Source organism: Homo sapiens, chromosome 11 (genome assembly GCF_000001405.40).
Source record: "Homo sapiens chromosome 11, GRCh38.p14 Primary Assembly".
Lineage (NCBI taxonomy): Eukaryota > Metazoa > Chordata > Mammalia > Primates > Hominidae > Homo > Homo sapiens.
In genome coordinates, this window is record NC_000011.10 from 95,901,855 (window position 1) to 95,925,793 (window position 23,939).

Sequence of the window (23,939 nt, forward strand, 5' to 3'; positions counted from 1 at the left end):
CAGAGACAGTAAGTATCTTTAAGCCTATTTCCCATAAATATTTTTAAAGTTTTTGGACAACAAAAAACAAGGAATGCATTCCACATGAGAAAGATGGATTGGTAATCTAATCCCCCACTTAGAATTCAGTATGAATCCATGTGATATTATAAGATCTGATAGTAAATGAAGATAAGAGTTCATGGCAATATGATATTATCTCATAGAATCTTACTGTTCCTTGACTCCTCATCCACAAAGACTGCTTCGTTTTCTTTTACCCTACTACTTAGTAGCCATGTGACCATGGGCAGGGTGTTCTACCTCTCTGAATCTCAGTTTCTTTCTATGTAAAATGGCGATGGTATATCATATAATTGGTTATTTATTCAGCTCCTTGTGCTCCAGACAGGCCAACCCATTTCCTTATCCCCCAGCCTCCATCAGCAAGAGTTTAAAAAGGGCATTGGAAATCCATGTGCTCTGAGGAAGTAAGACTGTCTGTCCTTCCATCTCTCTGTCAGCCTCTCCAATACCATTAGCAAAAGTGAAGTGGAAGCCCCAGATTGTGAGTGTCCCTTGCACAACCTTACCCTTTCCTCCCTTCAACATCATTTGCATTTTAACATGGACAGTCTTACAACTATCCACATTAAAAACTGTAAGGGCTAACATCATTATACTTTTACCTCTATTTTCAACAGTTCTCACAAGTAGTCAGAACTACCAGATTCTAATCCCCCTTCTCATTCTACCTCCCATTCACTCCCTATTCCTCTGTTTCTGAATTTTAAGGTTAGCCATCACCAAAATGACCTTTATCTCTAGCTCTTCTTAAAGGGTCTTTTTACCTTTTATGCTTACTAAAGCCTAGTTTTTACCTGAGGACACTGTTCCCCAACAGCCTTCTCAGACAGAAAAATAAGCCCTTTTATTTTCTCTCCAATATTCCTCTCCCACCACTAGGCCTGAAAACTGGGCCTTGTCCCTCACTGCCACTTTCAGATTCTTCTACCTCTCTGTCTCTAAAAACCCCAAGTATTCAACCTCATGCCATCAGACTACAGCATGTACCACCCTCTTTGTTGACATCATTTGCCTGTCTCTAAGTCACTCTCTCTCACTCCTTAAGACTTTAGCTTCAGGCTTACCATAATTCTTTCCAGTGCTGCCAACTGCTGTAATTCTTACTGATTCCAATTTACATAAATGAGCATTTAAACACCTTGGCCATTCAGTTAATCGAATTCCTCTTCCGCAATGATCTTGTCTTCCATTCTACCTCAGCCATTCACCTCAATGATCATATCCTCCGGACTGGCATTACCAATTAACTGCAATCACTCCCTAATTTAAATTTCAAACACTCTACTGTCTGACCATCAGCTCTTTTTCTCTAGTACCCCCAACCAACACTTCGAATTGTTCAATTTCACCAAAACCTCCACTGTTCCTACTACACTCCAGAGTACCTATTTCATGTTCTCACTTCTCGCTTTTCCCAGCTTTTAAAACTCCATGCCTGTTATTACAGTCGTTCCCTTGCCCTTGCTTACTTCATAGTACTTACTTGTCAACACGGAAAGCTGCTTAAAGCCAACTTTCTGACTATTCCAGACCATACCCACACAGTTGAACGAGTTGACAGAAAAAAAACACCACCACAGAGCGTGGACTCATTTTGAATTCATGGCCGCTTACCTCAACTAGACCCTTAATACTGCCTAGATATTACACAACATTTCTCTAGTTCATACACTCTCTCATTCTGCTAGATTACTATTTCATATTTTCTTTGCTTTCTTCACCCTGTATCATCCTCTCCACCCTGAATTTCCTAGATGCTCTAACTTCCTGTTTCACTCAAAAATACAGAACCAAACACAGATTTTCCACAAGCTCTCCAACTATAACCTGTGTGCACTGTGCACATATATTCTGCCTTGCTTTCTCTTACTATGGAGAAATCATCCATATTGCCATTAAATACCCCTCATTAGGCCAGGCATGGTGGCTCATGCCTGTAATCCTAGCACATTAAAAGGCTGAGGCAGGCGGATCACGAGGTCAGGAGATTGACACTACCCTGGCTAAGATGGTGAAACCTCGTCTCTACTAAAAATACAAAAAAATTAGCCAGGCGTGGTGGCACACGACTGTAGTCCCAGCTACTCAGGAGGCTGAGGCAGGAGAATCACTTGAACCCGGGAGGTGGAGGTTGCAGTGGGCCAAGATCACTGCACTTGATCTTGCCAAGACCACTGTACTCCAGCCTGGGTGACAGAGCAAGAGTCCATCTTAAAAAAACAAAAAACAAACAAACAAAATCCCTCATTAAACTCTATCTCCTCTTGTTTACACAAGAAAATCTCTCCAGCAATTCTCTCCTCCAGTTACTGCATCATAAAATTTTCCCTCTCTACTCAATCTCGCTAATCAGCATAGAAACAAAGTATTATTTCTCTCATCTTAATCCCTCCAAATAGTGCTTCATTTCTCTGAGCTTCTTTATAGCAAAATTCACTGAAAGAGATGTCTATATGTCAGAGGTGTTTGAACCAGAGCAACTCCATCTTGAATAGGGGCTGGGTAAAATAAGGCTGAAACCTGCTGGGCTGCATTCCCAGGAGATTAAGGCATTCTAAATCACAGGATGAGATAAGAGGTCGGCACAAGACAGGGGTCTTAAAGACCTTGCTGATAAAACAGCATGCGGTAAAGAAGCCAGCCAAATCCCACCAAAACCAAGATAGTGACGGAGGTGACCTTTGGTTGTCCTTACTGCTACACTCCCTCAAGTACCATGGCAATCATGAATAATCCACCCCTTGTTTAGTATATAATCAAGAAATAACCATAAAAATGGGCAAGCCACAGCCCTTGGGGCTGCTCTGCCTATGGAGTAGGTAGCTATTCTTTATTCCTTTACTTAATAAACTTGCTTTCACTTTACTCTATGGACTCACCCCGAATTCTTTCTTGAGCAAGATCTAAGAACCCTCTCTTGGGGTCTGGATCAGGACCCCTTTCCGGTAATATATATGCAGTGCTTCCAATTCCTCACTTCTCATTCTTTCCTAAATCCACTTCAGTCAGGCCTTTGCCTCCACCACACCAACAAAAATGCTTTTGTCAAGGTCATCAATAATCTCCACTTTGCTAAACCTGTTAATACTTCCTCCTCATCTATCAGCAGCATTTAACATAGTTGATCACACCTTCCTCCTTGAAACACTTTCCACACTTGACTTCCAGAACTCTATACTCTTACGGTTTTTCTCCTATTCCCTAGCCAATCCTCTCAGGTCTCCTGTAATGGTTCCATCTCACCTCCTTAACCTCATAACACTGGAGTGCCCCTAAACTCACTCTGCCCTTGAACTTATCTTCTCTACGTACTCCTCCTCTCCTTAATGATCTCATCCAGCCTCACAGTTCTCTGATGTGAAAATACCGTCTAAAGTGTGATATTCTTACACACACACGCACGCACCTGCGCACACACACACACACACACACACACACACACACACACAACACAACACATACCACTGCTTAAAAACAAAAATGCAGGCTGGGGAAAGGGGACCGGCATCCTGTAATTGACAACAGTGCTAAAATGCAGAAAATGAAGTTACTGTTAAAATGCATAAGACATAAATTTAGAGCAAAAAACAAATATGTACGGGGCTAAGAAACAAAAGTAATTTTCTCAGGAAGACTTTCTAGATTATTCCCACTCTTCCTGGATATACGCCTCCCTCAGCACATTCATCTTTAATTCATACCTATTAAAAACTGGTTCTTTGCTAATGTTTTCAAGCAAATTTATGTTTTCTAGTTTGGTGAAATACACAGACTCAATAAATATTTGTTTACCAAGAAATCTTTCTAAACTAAAATCAGAACTCTTTTAGAGATCAGCATTTACAACATATCCACTATATTAAAAACAACAGCAATAAAAATAGTAGGCCAGATATATTCACACTAAAATAAGGAGATAATATATAGGCTCAAAGTAAAGGGATAGAGAAAAACCTACCAAGCAAATGGAAAACAAAAAAAAAAACTATGGTTTGCTATCCTAATTTCAGATGAAACAGACTTGGCCAGGCATCGTGGTTCCGCCTGTAATACCAGCACTTCCGGAGGCTGAGGCAGGTGGATCACTTGAAGCCAGGAGTTTGAGACCAGCCAGGCCAACATGGCAAAACCTTGTCTCCACTAAAAATACAAAAGTTAGCCAGGTGTGGTGGCACACGCCTGTAATCTTAGTTATTCAGGAGGCTGAGGCACGAGAATCCCTTGAACCCAGGAGGCAGAGGTTGCAGTGAGCCGAGATAGTGCCATTACACTCCAGCCTAGGCAATACAGCGAGACTCTGTCTCAAAAACAAACAAACAAACAAAACAGACTTTAAACCAACAATGATCAAATGAGACAAAGAAGGGCATTATATTATTATACCCATTATAAAATGGGTAAAGGATTCAATTCAACAAGAAGACTCAACTATCCTAAATATATATGCATCCAACACAGGAGCTCACCTAGGTTCATAAAACAAGTTCTTAGAGACCTACAAAGAGACTTAGATAACCACACAATAATAGTGAGAGACTTCAACACCCCACTGACAATATTAGATCATTGAGGCAAGAAACTAACGAAGATATTCAAGAGCTAAACTCAACACTTGATCAAACAGACTTTACATTCATCTACAGAACTCTCCACCCAAAAACAACATTCTTCTCATATGCACATGGCACATACTCTAAAATCGACAACACAATCAGCCATAAAACAATGCTCAACAAATTTAAAGAAACCAAATTCATATCAACCATACTCTTGGATCACAGTGCAATAAAAATAGAAATCAATACTAAGAAGATCACTCAAAACCATACAATTACATGGTAATTTAACAACTTGCTCCTGAATAAACAATGAAATTAAGACAGAAATCAAGAAATTATTTAAAACTAATGAGAACAAAGATACAACATACTAGAATCTATGAGACATCGCTAAAGCAGTGTTAAGAGTTAAGTTTAAATCCCCATATCGAAAAATGAGAAGGAACTCAAATTGACAACCCAACATCACACCCAGGGGAACTAGGGAACCAAGAGCAAACCAACCCCAAAGCTAGCAGAAGAAATAACCAAAATCAGAGCTGAACTGAATGAAATTGAGACACACAAAAAACATACAAAAGATCAAGGAAAGTGGAAGTTGGTTCTTTGAAAGAATAATTAAGGTAGATAGACCACTAGCTAGACTAATAAAGAAAAACAGAGGAGCTTCAAATAAACACAATCAGAAATGACAAAGGGGGCATTACCACCAACCCCAAAGAAATACAAAAAAATCCTCAGTGACTACTATGAATACCTCTATAGACACAAACTAGAAAACCTACAAGAAATAGAAAATTCCTGGAAACATACAACCTTCCAAGACTGAACCAGGAAGAAAGTGAAAACCTGAAGAGACTAATTCCAAGTTCCAAAATTGAATCAATAATAAAAAGCCTAACAACTAGAAAAAGCCCAGGACCAGATGGATTCACAGACAAATTCTACTAGATGCATAAAGAAGATCTGGTGCCATTCCTATGGAAACTATTCCCCCCAAAAAAATGAGGAGGAAGGACTCCCTAACTCATTCTGAGGCCAGCATCACTCTGATACAAAAGCCTGGCAGACAGACAACGAAAAAAGAAAACTTCAGACAAATATTCCTGATGAACATAGCTGCAAAAATCCTTAACAAAATAGTAGCAAATCGAATCAAGCAGTGCATCAAAAAGCTAATCCACAATGATCAAGGAGGCTTTCTCCCCGGGATGCAAGGCTGGTTCAATGTGCACAAATCACTTAATTGTGATTCATTACATAAACAGACTGAAAATATAAACCATATGATCATCTCGACAGATGCAGAAAAGGCTTTTGATAAAATTCAATAACGCTTCATGTTAAAAACCTTCCACAAACTAGGCATTGAAGGAACATACCTCAAAATAGTGAGAGCTACAGCCAACATCACACTGAATGGGTAAAAGCTGGAAGTATTCCCCTTAAGAAACAGAAAAAGACAAGAATGCCCACTGTCATCACTCATATTCAACATAACACTGTAAGTCCTAGCAAGAGCAATCAGGCAAGAGAAAGAAATAAAAGCATCCAAATAAAAAACAGGAAGTCAAACTATCTGTTTACAGATGATATATTTCATACCTAGTAAACCCAACAGTCTCTGCCCAAAAGCTACTAGATCTGATAAACAACTTCAGCAAAGTTTCAGGATACAAAATCAATGTATGAAAGTCAGTAGTATTTCTATACACGAACAAAATTCAAGCTGAGTGCCAAATCAAGAATGCGATCCCATTCACAATACCTATAAAAAAAATACCTAGGAATACAGGTAACCAGGAAAGTGAAAGATCTCTACAATAAGAATTACAAAACACTACTGAAAGAAATCAAAGACGATGCAAGCAAATTGAAACACATTCCATGCTCATGGATAGGAAGAATCAATATTGTTAAAATGATTATACTACCCTAAGCAATTTACAGATTCAGTGTGATTCCTACCAAATTACCAATGATATTCTTCACAAAATTAGAAAAAAACTATTCTAAAATTCATCTGGAACCAAAAAGAAGCCCGAATAGCCACAGCAATTCTAAACAAAAAGAACAAATCTGGAGGCATCACATTGCCCAACTTCAAACTATACTACAAGGCTACAATAACGAAAACAGCATGATACTGGTACAAAAACAACAGACACACAGACCAATGGAACAGAATAGAGAGCCCAGAAATAATGCTGCCTTCCTACAATCATCTGATCTGACAAAGCTGACAAATGCAAGCATTGGGGAAAGGACTCTATTCAATTAATGGTGCTGTGAGGGGGTTATCTATACGTAGATTGAAACTGGAACCCTTAGAAATGAATGAAGTGGTGATAAAGAAAATATTTTCTCAAAAACAACAAAACTTATCAGAGTATAGCCAGCACTCTGGAATATATACATATACACATGCCTATGAAATAATAAGACTTAGGTTTATAGCAACAGAATAATATAGTACAGCACTAGTCTGCCTTGGTTTTCTAATAGTCCTGCCACCATCTCAGCCAGAGAGTTTTCTTTCCACCATAAGATCAAAACAGTAATCCCATCATCTGATTCTTAGTCATTCCCACACATTTTTTTCTCTGCTGTTATTATAACAAAGGGTTTTTTTCCTTTGTTACACTATTCTTAAAAGCAATGATCCACTCTTTTGGTCTCAAAAGTTCTACTATTTCAAAGTGTAGCATTTAGGTGAACAAAGTTATACAAACATTATTGGTGGGGGGGGAAAATTACTCTCTATATGCTTTTCAAAATAGAATCAATAAATAAGACAAAGCACTCTTCACTTATTTTTTTGCTGTTGTTTCATGTAGATTTTGTTTTTAGTTACAAATATTCCTAAGAAACTTTCAAATTAAGATTATGTCTAAACAAATGAAGTTTGGTACCTACTACAGAAGCATATTCTGACTCAAACTCTGGACTTATAAGAATCCCTTTTAATGCTGCAAAGGCAGAAAAATCTGTCTCCAGATAGCAGGGGTTCACTGATCACATCCAAATATTCCACACCTCAAAACACCAACTTAGCTTCCTCGGAAGGATGGAGACTGAGGTCTTCCACCTCTAACTAAAGGCCTCAGCCATCTTCCCTCCTGTCCTCTCTAGAGCAGGAACTTCCTAAATCTCCTTTATTTTGTTTTTTTTTAACCTCCCCTCCATTCCACAAACATTTACTGATATCATCAATGTACTAAATACTGGGGATAGAGTTCTCTATTTATAAAATGATAATGATGCATTATAAAATCTTGCAATAAGGATCAAAATATTTTAATAAGGATCAAAAAGCAAGATCTATAGAAAGTACTTAGTGTTAAGTACTGAACTGGTAGAAAGTGTTCAACAAATAGCATTGTGGAAATACAAGAAGAGAATAGGAAGTCTACTTTTAAGAAGGCATCCACTAATTAAATTAAAATTAAGCAAAGCACTAGGCCCTAAAAGTACTTTTCATTCAGCTCTATAATGTAAAATGTCTTCATGTGCACTAGGAAAATTGAATATACATACTTTTAAACTTACAAGTTTTAGTTAACTGATGAATCACATAATACAAAGCACAAATATTGGGGAGAAATTTTTTTAAATATAAACACACACACACACACGCACGCATGCACGCACACACACACACACACACACCCTACATGATTTTTTATATAGTCAATCAGAAGACAGACCCAAAACTTCAATCACAAAACCAATTTCACCACCAGTATTTTTCAATGTAACCGTTAGAAAAGTATTGACCCTTTCTGGCTCCACTGGTTTGGCCGAGTGTTAATGGAATTATCATTACTTTATTGTCAATCACAGCAACACCTGAAGGTACTTCACAGCAATGAACAGAATCTAATATTTATAATTTAACAAAAATATTTTTTATAAAATTGAAAAAGTATTTCTGAAAATTAAAGATGCAGATGAACAAACATATAAAGAGTATATACACTTTAGAGTATATACTCTAAAGTGAAAACAACCTGGAAACTTCAAGTCATCTATCTTTTCATATATCCTAGTAAACAAATGCCTCTAGAAGATTTAGGAGAGGCTGCATTTCTACTGACCATAGTCATTACAATAAGATCTAAACCACTTGCCTTTAACTGTTTCACTCTTGCTGCCAATTCAATTTTTCTTCAATATTCCGTAAAAAGAAAAGGTTCTTTTTAAAAAGTGATTTTCTTGTAAGTAATGTCCTGAGCACATACACAGCATGTTTGCCCAAGAACATTAAAGCATGCCTTCTATATTCTGATTGTGAACAAGCTTTTCTAGGAACGCAAATTTTGCTCTCAATACTTAACACAATGCACTATAGTATCATAAGCACTGTTCATGCTCTATTAGTCATTCTGTTGAAGATTTTATTTAAAAAAAATAATAAAAGGCCTGCAGTGTGTATAAAACATTTGAGACACAAAAGACTTATTGTCAGAATATTTGCAGGATCCTCAAAACAGAAAAACAACCCCCCCAAAACAAATTAATTTATAATTTTTAATTATGTTTAAAAATGCTGTGCCAGAACCCTGCATTAAACTTAGCCAATTCATAAGATAAAAACGATTATATAAATGATCATCATGGCATCTGATTGACAGAAATAAGAGACAACATGTTGTATTCTTCCGAGAAACAAAGGAGATTTGAGCTCTGGGACAGCCTTCCAACTGGTGCATGTTGGCACTTAGTTTGGAAAATCCCAAGGTTCTAAGGTACATGTGACCCTGGACACAGTTATCAATTTATTTCCAGGTCTATTAATTACATTTCCCAAAATATAACACAGGCATATGATTTCATAATGCAGCAGAGTCTGAACAACCAGTTTGTATAGAAAATAATTTACATATGTCTGTTTTTTCTCCAGAGTATTGTTTCTTCAAAGAACTTATTGGGAAATTTAAATAAATAAAGAGGTGAAAGCCAAAGTATTCTGCGGAAAATGAATGTGTCCCTGGGAGACAGGGGTGAGGACTGGAGGGCAGGAAGGACCTTGAGTTCCAGCACCAATCTCACAGCCTCAGCACCCCGTTTAAGGAGCTTCTCAGAATCTCTTCAAAAACCTCCGATTCAAATTCAGATGACAGCTCAAATGAAAACACACAGATTCATAAGTAGCCAAGAGGGAAAAAGTTATTTAAATATCACTTAACTGAGAGAAGAATCAAACTAAACTGAAAACTGGTCAGATTATTAGAGCTCTGAAATTAACCCTTCCATCCCAAACTAAAGTATACAGGCAAAAACACTAAAAGAGAGAAGGTGATCTATTCCCTAAACACTTGCTCAACAAACACTTACTTGGACAAGTATAGAAAACAGGGAAATTTATGTCTTGAAAAATGATCTGTCATGTAATTTTCTCACTCCACCTTGCAAACCTGAATTCATTATTCAAATTAGAAAGTCATATATCCATTATTTTTGCTATCCAGATAGATATATTTTGTTTTTCCAAGACAAGCAAAACTGTTTATTATACAATTAATCTTTCACTACCCTTTCAATGTAATGAGATACAACTTTTCTGCACAAACTTCAAAGTCATATAAATGAAGTTAACACAGGTGGGTTTTTTTTTTTTTTTTCAGTTACTAAGTTAAAACTCTCAGTAGGAAAGGTAGAGCATTCAACATCTTTCTCTTTGTAGTCCAGAAAGGTTAAGCTAAAAATCAAAATACTGACAGTACTCAGTGATCCATGCCTGCCAAGGATATCTCTCCCTAATTTTGAATACTCTTCCCTATTTACCAGATTAGTTGTTAGAAATCATAAACTAGAAAACCACATAATAGATAAGGTTCCTTTCTAGAGCTCTTATAAGTACAATCTTGTTTCCATGGTTATGAAAAGAACAAAAAAGTTTTTAATGAAAAGAAAATTTATAATTGAAAAATATAATAATTTTTTAGAAATCAATAGGCTATTTTAAAATGACGTTTTTTAAAAATCATAGAATAAAAATGTCTTGAAATATTAAAAAAAGGCATTGCATCATTAAACTCTCTAGTAATTTGAGAATTACAGAGTATTTCCAAAATTAAGATAACGAGATTTACTCATATAAAGTTACAAATCAGTAACTATCAATATACCATACATAATACAATATAAAATATACACAATACTAAAACGAATTCAAACTCTTATAGTTCAAAAATACTTTATAAATTTCAGTCCCTCAGAGATCTTGTGAATATCAACTATAAAATATAGTATTATAAATACAATAAAATTATTTCAATTATTTAAAGTTTCTGGCTTGGTATATAAAGCATCAGATTCTGTATGAAGCAAATAAAATCACTCCTAACTAGCGTACTTCACAGAATACAAATGAAGAAAAGTTTTAACAGTAAACTGTTCATAGTATAGCTTATCAAGCACCTACTATTTGCAAAACACTATAAAATTTGTACCTACTATTTCACTCAAAAAATGAAATCAGATCCTCATTTTCGTAAGCATGAAACTTAAATCCAGGTAGAAATAATATCATGGATACAAAAAAAAGTTTTTTCTTTCCTTCACCAAGTCTATCCAATGATTTCAAAACCAGAATGAGTCACATATCTGACTAAAAATGAAGAAACAGTATGTTTTTCATTTACATAACCCATATGTCCTCTTATTTTTTTCAGGAACAGTGATGGATTGGTTATAATCTTATACATCCTATAAGCAGAGGGTTCTATAGACAGGAAATACAGTGAAGTTATATGGCCCTGCAAAAAAATCATGATGCTACATGGTAAAGTCTAGAACTGGGAATTAGGAGATCATCTCTGACACTAAATAGCTCTATGACCTCAGAGGAAAACCACAACCTTTCCTGGCCCTCTAACATTTATTGTGCTTTGGGGTAAATTATTAGAGTTCTCTAGATCTATTTCCACATCTGAAAACTTTTGGAACTAGACTAGCATCCAACAGCATTTGGATGGGTGGTTCTTCAACTGTTAAATGCCGATTCCTAACGTCACCTCAATGATTCAGAATGTCCACGCTGAAACCTAGGAAGTTAAATGTTCACCAAGTTCACAGTTGACTGAAATACATAGGTGGTCCTCAGCCACAGTTGAAAAACACTAATTGGTTGATCTCTAATCCCTCTAAGAGTGTGAAAAGATGATATAATTCATTTCAGCACCAAGCTTTTAGGAATTCAGAATCTAGCACAGTGTGTAAGGCACAGTAGATGTTAAACAATTATTTGCAGAAAGAAAGGAAGGGAAAGAGGAGGGGAAAAAAAGAAAGAATAGAGAAAGAGGGGGAAGGAAGGCGGCTAACTAACTGGTCATATTTTTGGCTAAGAAACATACAAAACAGTAGTAAAATTACACTTGAATAACATACACAACACACATCAATAGCTGGAAAGCAAAGACCTTAGTATCTATAACATTTTGCATATAACATGAATTCTTGTCATCCTCTTCTCAAGTCAAACTGCAAATTGCTAAGGAGGAAAAGGAAGAAAACAGAACATGGATGCCAAAAGAATTCTAATGGAAAATAACTGGATGACTAAAACTTAGTGACTGCTTTCCCCAAGTAGAAGAGAACACAGAATTTTAAGGACAGGGACTTGGAAATGGAACTGAAGTTTGAAACTACTTGTTACTCATAAGTGCAAATTTCATTTGGGATAATATATAATCCAGAAATACTGTTGGCAATATTAACTTTTGTCCATTTTTATATCTGCATTTTCCCATTCACTTACATTATAATTTTTGAGATGTTTTATCTTCACTTCTGATGATCTTCAAATGTCAATGGCTCTTAACACATTAACTGTAAATAAACACAAAGGAACTTAGGGGAATTCAGAAATTTAAGGAACCCTAAAATATTCTAAATCATTGTGCAAAGCCTGCAGGGCAGGGAGTGGTGGGGAGGAGGCTTTGGCAATTACTTGCTTCATACTTTACATGATCTTCAAAATGTAAAACTGTTCTTTTGAATGAAATGATACTACCGATACTACCCTCTTAATCATCAGGTAATGAATGAAATGATACTATCCTCTTAATCTCAGGCAAAGAAAAAAAAACATCCTATTTTCTGTCAGAAGGCAAACAAAATTCAAAGGTAAAATTCTCTCCAAATACAAACTCTCACTTGGTGAATGTATACTGTATCTTTATCCTTCTCCAGCAAAATAGCAGGTCAAGGAAACTCATGTCCTTATCACTACCACCCAATCAACCTGCCCTGGGACTGCCCTCTAACTACAAAGCTTTGGTCTGCACCTGGGGCACTAGATCTTCAGGCATGTGTGTTCTTTAGAGCACACAGACCCTGAAGTCAAATGGACTTGAATTCACATGTCAAGGTACCCTCTCTAATCTTCCGTTTTCTTCTCTGTAAAATGGAAACATTAACACTCTCTACTTTATACAGTTATGAGGATTATATGAGAAAATGCATAGAAGAAATGTAGCACCATGCCCAGCATAGTAAGCATGCAATAAATGTTGTGCTATTTATATTATTGTTGTGTTTAATATTAACATTATTATTACTATAACTGTCTACCACTAGGAAAGCAAGGCTTGTTTTCAGTGTTGCTATTTTGAGGCAATGCCTTTGGTTATGATAAAAGAATGTTGTTATCTAATATTGGTAACAGAGAACAGAGAACAAAATTTTATTTTTGAACTTTGCTGGGCTTCTTGGCTCGCTCAAGAATATTAAGGCTTGTAATCACCAGCCCATCATCAGCCAGTTATTTTCCCTTTTGCTAATGCATAACCTCCAGACAAGGCCTCCTCCCTACCTCAGCAACTGCTCATTTGCTGCTATCAGTAAAAGCAATTCTGCCGAGAAGAGAAATGGATATGTTTCTGACTTAATGTCTATTAAATCCTCAGAGCCTGATGAATAAATGTTTTATCAATCCAAAGGAGACTTATATACATATGCTCTTCTATTCACATCCAAATTATAAACTCCTTATGTTTGAAATTATATGCTTAAAATATTAATATTTAAGTTAGGTGACAAAAGAATATATAAGACACAGATGTCTCCGCATTTTTAATAAAATGTTTAGGTCAAAGATATAAAAACAAACTGAATATTGGCAAAAGCATTCATAAATTAAAATGGTCAGCTTTATTTATTTCCCTTATGGAAACCACATCCTTACAACTGAAATGAGAGAAAATACCTAAGTAGAACCCGATGCAACATTCTAGAAGAGGATAAAATACATGGATACATGGCTTGGAAATGGATGTCAAATTGGAAGTAAGCAGAGTAGGCCATCAACTTCATTACCACTACTACTTTACCGTGCAATTCCTTGAGCTCTTCAAGTGAAATACAATATAGCACGGCAATCCATTCTTCCTTTGATTTCTGTTTCCCCATCACTTAATGATCTTGTCAATATTAAATGTACCACTTTCATTTTATGGTTCCAGATTAGGATTATAAAAATCTGACCCAAGACAAGACACAAAAAAATAGAAAGCTAAACTCAAGAGTTCAGAGTGCTCCAAGATACAATTCTCTTTTTTGGTCTGCAGCAATGTATTACCTCCTCTCTTTCAGTGTGTTTTCTATTTTGGTCATCGCATTTGCAGCTCTAAGGGTGTCTCTGGCATAAGTGAAATATTGCAGACTTTAGGTGGAAAATGTCTTTCTTTTAAATGATTCATCTGTACCCAAGGGGAAAAGCTGCTATGACTCCAATACCCATTCTCTCCTATTCCTCAGTGACAGAACCTCCAAATTTAGCTCAGCACAAAGGCCTCACAGATGAGACTGCCTATCCCAGCCTCTTGTTTACCTACGTATGGCCATGGGACCATCCATGTTTTAGCCAACTGGATGTAAGTTAAAAAAAATGACATGTGACTGCCAAAAAAGTATCCTTCAAAGAGAGAGAGTATGCTCCTCTTCTTCCCTTCCTCCTGAAGATATAATAGCTGGAGTTCCAACAATAATTTTGGTTCATGAGGTAACCCTGGAATGTAAGACAATCTGGGTCCTTGATACTTCAGATCCACCATATTAGATCTGTATTGACTATCTCCAGGCTTTCATGTGGAAAAAAATTTAGCATCTCCTATATTAAGCCACTGTCAGTTTGTATTTTGTTATGTGCTGCTAAACCTAAAGTAGAACTTAAAAAAAAAAAAGAATTTTCCAAATAACAGTGTTTAAATTTTTAATTAAAATATATTTTACAGGTAATTTTTAATATATTTAATACACAGCATTTGCTCTTATTTACTCTAGACTAAAAATATTTAAAGAGCCCAAGAGTTATTCACACAAAGTAAGAGTCTTTGAAAGAATAAATATTCACCAGTGATTATGGCCATAGGTCCTATGTACTTGGGGAAGGGAAGAATTATGAAGCTTGCTTATTAACAGTTTGTATTAATGACAACATTGGTACCTATATAGAAACATATTAGGAGGGACAGGCACAATTAGCTTTGCATAATAAAGCTACAGGAAAGGGAACTGAAGTTATTATTTTCAAGAAGGCATCTTCCCTAGTCCTTTTTATTTTAATAATCTAGTACCAACTTTATCTTTTTATACAGTTCCATTTTTAATTTGACTTCCTGTGGAAAGCAGGTTTTTAAAATCACTCCCTATCCTTGACTATCACCTCTAATAGTGTTTAATTATTATCTACCGATTTAACTAAATCAAACAGTAGACACAAAGATAGCAAGTACTTTACATATTCAAAACCATCTTCCTTACAAAGGAAAAATATTCCACACTAAAATCTGGAGAATTTCCATTACTCAAATCCTGAATCGCACGCAATCTTTGGCTCTGATGATTTTGAATACAATAGCATTAACTTGGCAGCTTTCCAAAATAAACTTACTGCTTTCTGGTCATCTGTATCCAGGTTATCTCCTTCCCCTGGGCATAATCCAAACTTTACAGGTTCAGGTGATGGCCTCCTGGAATTACTTGTTCATAATACAGTTGACCCTTGAACAACACAGGAGTTGGGGTGCTGACCTTCAACGCAGCTGAAAATCCGCATATAATTTTGACTCCCCAAACTACTCCCCAGACTTAACTATTAATAGACTACTGTTGACTGGAAGCTTTACGGATAACATAAACAGCCCATCAAAACATATTTCAGGCTGCACGCCAATATACTGAACTCTAACAATGAAAAAAAATGTTATTAAGACAATCACAAAGAAAAGAAAATACATTTACTACCCATTAAGTGGAAGTGGGTCATCATAAAGTTTGTTACCCTCATCATGTTGCACATGCTGAGGAGGAAAAGGAGGGGTTGGTCTTGCTGTGTCAGGGGTGGCAGAAGCAGAAGAAAATCCACATAAAAGTGGATCTGAACAGTTCACACCCATGTGGTTCGAGGGTCAACTGTACTTTTTTTAAAAATGCTTGTTTCCACTAATCTTTCTCACTAAGAATCTATTTTTAAGAAAAAGCCTAAAACGCATATTCTTGTTTTATGTTACTCAAAGAAAAATGCCTTAGGAAATTTCCTAGAAATCAAATCTAATAAATCGACAAGAGATGACTTTTACCTTTTACTACTTTAGTCAACATTTTTACAAAAATGCTCTCAAGTAATAGTTTTACAGTACTTCTAACATAGACCTTAACTTAGTTTTAACTAATGTTGATTGCATTACAAAAGGCACCAATTAGCAAAAGATCCAAGGCAGTGGTTCTCAAACTTCAGCATCCATCGGGATCACCTGGAAAGCTTGCTAAAACACCAACAGCTGGGCTCCACCCCTAAAATGTTAATTCAGTTAGGTCCAAGGTAGGGCCCAAGAATTTGCATTTTTAACAAATCCCAAAGAGATACTGATGCTACTGGCCTGGAGACCAAACTTTGAGAACTACTGGTCTACACTAATAGGAAATTATTGATAATAGCATAAAAAGGAAAAATACAGATATATACGGGACCCAGTCTCAGGTTCACTATCAACTTGCATTCTTCAAATATGTGCTTTCTGAAAAGCTACATAATTACTATGTCAGACCAATATTGTTTCTTATCTAAGAGAACTTAGATCTTTGAGGGTTTTTAAGTAATGAAATCCAAATAAGTAATTTTTAGTCTAATATGTTCAATGTTTGATACAAGGTACTACTAATAATGCCAAGGTTGTAGGTTCAATCTGGTAGCTTTACTCTGTTTTACAGCTATAATTTCTACCTCTAATCTTGCCAGCTGTCTCAGCAGACATGCCAAGAGTGACAAAGGGAATGGGTAAAAATGTGTGATTGTACACAAATCCATCACCACTACTAGAAAAACAACATAAAAGCATATTTCCTACCAACATATCACTTTTTTTTCTTGAGACGGGGTCTCACTGTCTTGCCCAGGCCAGAATACAGTGGCACTATCACAACCCACTGCAGCCTCAACGTTCCCAGGCTCAGGTGATCCTCTCACACCAGCCTCCCAAGTATCTGGGACTACAGGCATGCACTACCATGCCCAGCTAACTTTTTATTTTTTGCAGAGACAGTGTTCTGCCATGTGACCCTGGCTGGTCTGGAATTTCTGGACTCAAGCAATCCCAAACTGTTCAGCCTCCTAAACTGCTAGGATTACAGGCGTTAGCTACTGCACCTGGCCTCCAACACGTCACTCTTAAGTGACCTTGAGGCTAAAACTAAAGATGAGACCTTGCAACAAAATGTGTTTTAGAAATCTAGGAAACTCCTCTACTTCTTCAGGCTATAAGTATAATCAAAATCCATGGAAACAGAAATCTAGGAATTCCTGTTTTCAAATGATGATAATTTTAAGGCAGGCATGCAATTTATAAATGCAATTAGTTGAGAACTACTTTGAGTATGTGTACCCCCCCTTTGATTTTTTTAATGGAAGTTAAATGTAAATATAAGATGCTCATCAATGCTAATGAAATTATATACTACAAATTGATAAAACCAAATAATCTGGGATAAACAAGTATGGTACCCAGAATAACTAAAGCCTGAGGTTATATGAAGGATGACAAGAACACACATTAATTAAAACGACTAACAACACAAGTTAGAGCAAAAGGGGCAAAAGTAATCAAGAGTAGCAGATGGATAAATAGGTAGTTGAAGAGGACATAATAACCTCATTGTGTGTAGGACTGGGCACAGAACAGTAAAATCAGCTCAAGATGTCCAGTCTCCCATAAAAATAACTTCAGCTTAGACCTGAAATTGCAAGTGTTCAGGCCAAATTCAACAGAAGGAATCCTTTTTAATCCTTTGAATGGGAACAACAAACAAGACCAGTGGTGAACATTCCGTCAACATTCTTTTATTTAGATGTTCACTCAGCACCTATTCGGCACTAGATATCTTACCATTTGATTATGCACAATACAAACTAATCAAAGAAACCCACTAAAGCAGTGCATTTTATAATAGTGTATAAACTGAAAAATGGAAAACCAGACTAAGATGGCAGATTATTACCAATATAATGTCAAATTCTGCTGTGTAACTCATTACAGTTCTGAGACTCAAGCCTACTCTTATTATCACATCTGACCTACAGTATTATTTTACCTATATCTTATAAAGTCATACTTATATCAAGAATCAGAGCACACCCAACAAAAGTAAAATTACAGAATATAACTAGATTATTAGGATGCTAAAGTGAAGTTTTCCACAACTCCCTCTCTCTTTCTGTGGGGATAGATATACATGAAGAATGGCCAACAGCAAGATATACAAGAGTTGCTGAACAGTTTACTGAAGTATGGCAATATTAAGCAGGACTCACCAAAGACAACTATTGTTTTTTTTGTTTTTGTTTGAGATGGAGTCTCACTCTATTGCCCACTCTGGAGTGCAGTGGTGCGTTCTTGGCTCACTGCAACCTTGGCCTCCCAGGTTCAAGTAATTCTGGTACCTCAGCCTCCCAAGTAGTTAGGGTTACAGGTGCGTGCCACCACGCCCAGCTGACGATTACTTTTTTTTTTTTTTTTTTAAAGATGCAGGATGACATAACTATAGCTGGTTAGGAAACTACTACCTGGATATCATATGAAGAATGAAATTGCCCTTTTGTGGGCAAAAGCATCAGATCTATGATGACCTAGAAGGCATAACTGGAGACAAGAGAACTCTGAAATGACTACAGATACTTAGTAAGACTCATCACATGTTTATTGTGAACTACAGATTGCACAACAGCCTGTAATCCAACTTCAATGGAGTATGTCATTTTCATTTTTTAAAATATTTTTACTTATTTTAAAAAGTCTTTCTTTTTTAGAGATGGGGCCTCACTATGTTGCCCAGGCTGGTCTCAAACCCCTAGGCTCAAGTGATCCTCCCACCTTGGCCTCCCAAGTGCTGAGATTACAGGCATGAGCCATGGCACTCGGCCAAGTATGTCATTTTCAAAAAACAATGGGCAACCACATGGATTAGTGTATCATCCTTCCTACTTCCCAAAAGGGCTTCAGACATCTAATCAATACATTTAAACATAACACATAATATTTAACTTGAGTTCATGTAATAATAAAAGTACTTAAAGAAATTAGAGATGAGTATATTACCACCTTCAGATATAAATTTGACTAAAGTTTTACTAAGCTAAAGAGAAAGACGCAGTTATATAGTTACCACTTACTAACAAACAAGGAGCATACATAATTTTTTCTATAAATAATTTTCTTTGTAGCTAAACTCAGCAGAAATTTATGTTAATGCATGTGTGAAAAACATTCTGTGACACATTTAACAATATTAACTATTATTCTGCCAGAGATATCAAAACAAATTCCAAAGGCAGTTTCCCAATTAGGCCTCTGTATAAAAACAGAAAGCATAAAAATAAACTACAATTTAAGGGAATCATTTCTGCAAAAACTGAGATAATATAGGCCAAACAGCAATAATTTTGCTTTGTCAAAGGCTAATGAAACAAAAGAAATAACTTAAACAATCTAGATAGACACTTAACATAGCTATGAGACCAAAGCAGGCCACACTGGCAATGTATTAGAGTCACCTGCGATGAAGTGTTAGCCTAGATTGTTTAAAATTAAGCTTTCTAACTAGTGTCTATAATGTATCTATTACATACTGTTGATTAAGGAGAGTGCCACAAACAGGTATGATGATTAATGAAATAAAAGATACATAGAATTTAGCAGGGAAACTTCCATACAGTAGACATTAAGTAAATGTTACTTTTCTACCTTCCAGAGGAGAGTAATGAAAGCTGGCATTCTCTTATGGAAAATAGGAATCATACTTATATTTTTGTCCAGAGAGGATTAGGCTAATCTACTATATCACAATTCTCTCGAGGAGTACTTAATTTTCTCAAATTTGTCAGTAACATAATTTTTTATAGAGAAGTTCATATACATATATAATCTTTATACTTGCTGGGCTTTCTGTTTTAGGAAATAAATATGTTCAAGTGGCACCGTTAGGTATATTAGTTTGTAATAATAAAGGACACTTATTTCGTGTAATTGCAAAAATCCAAAACAAAGGTTATTTGCAAAGGAATTATCTTTAAAATTAATATCAATGCATTCATCTTAGTATTGTCATTAAAATTTTAAAAATGACAATGTTAGAGTTCCAAGGGACCTTACAGATTTTCTAGATCAAGCTTCTTATTTTAAAAGATGAGAAAACTGTAGACTAGAAAGTCTAAATGAAAAGACCAAAGAGCTAGCTCAGCCAGAGACTTCAGCATGGGAGCTTCCTAACTTCCAGTACTTCCTTCTTTCTAACATACTGTGCTGCTTCATGTGGTTCTAACTTCTCTGCCTTGGATGAGAGTACTGGTTGCCTCTTATGCTATTCTGAGGCATAGTTGTCATTTGTAACTTTCCCATAAAATTCGAATTTTCCAACCTGTTTTCTGAATGAATTACACAACTGAACATGTTAATCCTCAGCTTTCCAAATTTCAAAGCAATAAATACAGAATTCAAAAAATACTTGATTCAAACGTGCAATATATATAATCAAACTGCAAAGAAAAATCCTCCTTTCCTGGATAATTCAGGCTACAAATTCGAAAAAAAAAAAACCATTTAGTGAGCACCTATCACATGCTGAGACTATGTTAAGTGCTGGAGATATGAAGATGATTAAGATTGCCCTCAAGTATAATAGCTTATAACCTGGTAGAAAAGGCACTTTAAGCCAACAATTATAGTGTGCTTATTAAAGACTCTGAAAAACGACTGTGCAGGGAGCTATGAGTGCATATGGCAATGTAGAATGACGGGATCAGACAGTGGTTCCCCAGTGAGGTGCTGAACATCAACAGGAAAAAAGGCAATAACTACCCATATTTAGCAGAATCCAAAATGAATTATAATAGAGCCACTTCAACTGATTGAAGGAGAAAATGAAAATTGTGTGTTTTCACACAGCAGTTATCGAATCACTCTCTAATAACAATTAGACTATTATTCAGTGGAAAAGAACCAGATTTCATCGTGGCTGCATAAAAAGCAAATACAGGTCTTATATTATTTTTTAAAAAATTTTTAAATCATTATTTTAAAATCAAAGAAAAAGACTGCATCCAAAACGCGTCTAGTTAATATTCATAAAAGCTCTCTGCAAAGCTGCATAAAGTCCTCCTCAAAATTCCAGGATAAAATTCCCATCTGTTACAAGAGAAATGACAACGTGGAGAACCAGTAGCCCAAGAAGGAAGAAAACTACCACTCATTTTGTTTTCTTAAACCTATCACTGGGGATAAAAACCACTCAGATTCCTTGATACTGACTTTCAGCTGGAAGATTTAGAAAAGAGAAGCACAGGAGACATTTTTATTTACATATTTAAGCAAAAAGGGAGGCGAGAAGAAAATCAGAGTGTAGAGAAAAGCATGAAAGAAATTAAGAAGGTGAAGCCATGAAAAGAGAGAAAAGGGCTGGGCAAGAACCCAAAAACCAAAGACATAAGAAGGGGTGGAGGAGGAAAGACTGACTTTAGGATGGTTTTGGAAAAAGTGACAGAGAAAGACAGGAAATGTGGGGAAAAGAATGGGGGCGGGGGGAACTGTCTTAAAAAAGGTTTGAGAGGGAATGAAAGACAGGAGAAAGTAATTAACTGGGACCACCTCCATCGGGGAGAAAACGAGATCGGAATATGAAAGGTAGAGGAATCGATAAAGAAGCAGCGAGTTTTAACCTCCTTTTCCTCAGCCTCCACGCCCCAGGGAGGGAGGCAGAAGTGGTTCCCAAGTCCCGGGGAAGGAATTCCGGCGTAGCCTTCAGAAACCAGAATCCGCGAATTGGGGCAACAATCCAGCAGGTCCCCGGCCCCTCTCCATCCCCTTCGGACGCTGGGCGGGGCCCTGGGCGTCCTGGTTACCTGGACAAGGAGTCCACGCTGGGCGGCCGAGCCGCCGCCGGCTGGGAGCCAAGACTCTCGCAGCTCGAGCTCTTCTCCATCGCGCGGCAGGGGCAGCACAGGGAAAGGCTGAAGCAGTCTTCGCGGCTACAGGGCGGGAGAAGCGGAGGGCGGAGTGCTACGGACCGGGGCCGCAGTCAGGCCAGCGCCGGCCCGGGAGGGAGACCGGAAGCGGCCATGTTCCCCCAGAGTGCACCGCGCCTGTAGGCTGCTGGGCAGCGGGAAGACCCCACTGCGCAGCTCAGACGCCGGCATCGACTCTCCGTGCTGGCTGTGTCCGGCCGCGCGACATCTGGTCTTGGGGAAAGGGAGGTGGCGGCTCCCAGGGTGAGGGGGTCTGGTGAAGCGGGAGGGATGAAGGACCAGACCCTTATGGAAGGAGGAGAAATCCTAGGTGTAAGAGGAATGAGGGAACACTAAACATGAGGGTCTCAGGAAGGCGATAAGGACCTGAGGCCAGGAGGATGATTTAGACAGGAATGTGGGGGTCAAGGAAAACAAGAGGACCGGATAATGAGAGAAAAGTGAGAAAGAGGTATGGGAGAGGGATTGGGGAGGATCTGATATACATGCAAAAAGAATTATATACTACTGGATGCGGTGGTGTTGGATTACCCAAGTAGAAGACAAACTTTCACCGATTTTTCCCTGCCCTTTCAAATTCCCGTGCCTAGCAGGAAGGGAGTGTGGAGGAATAGAACTGTGATAAGAGAACAGGAACTGGGTAAAGGGGAAATGCTTCTGCTAGGATTTTTCTGTTAGGATACAGGAAAGCCATAAGGACACCATAAAGGGATTTTTCTGATTGAGATTGAATCCTAATCATCTCATGTATGGGGTGTAAAATTATGCAAAGATTATTCCTGTAAAAAAAAAATCAGACCATCCTTAAAAAACTTCCTTGCTAGGATAAATTGAATTATATTGATTTAAACTAGATTTAATTTATAATGTACAACTGATGTCTTTTAAAAAACCTTATAGTTGCAGTGCAGTATTAACTTGCAAGTACATTCCCAAGAAGAACAACCTAGCTTAGTTATGTTCAGTGTAAGGTAGAATAGTTACTGATGAGTATGTGTTTAAGCACAAAAGGCTTAGCCTTTTTTGAGTTTGGCGAGGACAGACAGCGACCGATTGTTTTTATTTCCATAATTTTTAAGATACCTTAACTGGACTCTGTAGGCAAAGGGAGTAGGTAGTCAAAAACATTTTTTAACAAGCTTAAATATCTATCATGACTCATAGAAGAATTTCCTTATTTCTTCACCATCTCTACCTGCCTTCCAAAATGCTGACTCACTGTCAGCTACTTTGACTTAAATTTCCTTAGTGAAGGCTGATGAACCCTTGAATGGGAGACCTATGTACTTTCTTCCACCCAGTTCATTCGTAGCACTTTGTTAATAGAACCCTCGAAACCTTCTGCCTGATGTAACAATATGTGTATGGTTCTATCTAGTGATTAATAAAGAACAGTGTAGTAAAAGTGTAGAGACTTTGGAACCAGACAGATCTTCATCGGAATCCCGGTTCTGTCTCTACACTTGCTCTGTGCTGTGGTTAAGTTGTTTCACATCTCTAAAATGGGAATAAAATGGGAATAAAAATATCTACGTAATAGGTTGTTTTTCTCTGTGCAGAGTCGGTTGCACAGTACGGTCTCACTAAGTAGATTTATTATTACTTGTTTTTCCACTGAACTTACTGCTTGACTTCTAACCTGACTGGTAAAATGGTAACTTCTCAGAGTGAAAACACAAGCAAAGAATATCAGCTGGAAATTAATTAGTGAACTCTAATTAATTAATGAACTCTAAGAAAATGAAAAAACATGGTTAACTTGGGACCTCACCAAAAGTTATTAATTTTTCAATTTA

The 23,939-nt window shown here is 37.0% G+C and overlaps 1 protein-coding gene across 23 annotated transcripts in view, besides 2 other annotated features; it reads right to left on the bottom strand.

Moving 5' to 3' along the window:
- The window catches only part of MTMR2 (myotubularin related protein 2), a 91,228-nt gene extending 68,975 nt beyond the window's left edge, over positions 1-22,253 (bottom strand). For 10 of the 23 annotated variants that reach the window (NM_001440635.1, NM_001440649.1, NM_001440647.1 and 7 more), the window contains exon 1: positions 22,021-22,253. Coding sequence is in view for 6 of the 23 variants with exons in the window: in NM_001440649.1 (NP_001427578.1) it covers positions 22,021-22,100 (80 nt within the window). In the remaining 17 variants the exon portion in view is untranslated. The other 13 variants (NM_201281.3, NM_201278.3, NM_001440639.1 and 10 more) reach the window with 7 other exon arrangements.
- Positions 22,231-22,280: an enhancer, noted in NCBI's record as "active region_5418". NCBI's record gives its function as "activates an Ori minimal core promoter by ATAC-STARR-seq in GM12878 lymphoblastoid cells {active_cell/tissue: GM12878}" and the evidence as "EXISTENCE:reporter gene assay evidence [ECO:0000049][PMID:35858748]".
- Positions 22,341-22,470: an enhancer, noted in NCBI's record as "active region_5419". NCBI's record gives its function as "activates an Ori minimal core promoter by ATAC-STARR-seq in GM12878 lymphoblastoid cells {active_cell/tissue: GM12878}" and the evidence as "EXISTENCE:reporter gene assay evidence [ECO:0000049][PMID:35858748]".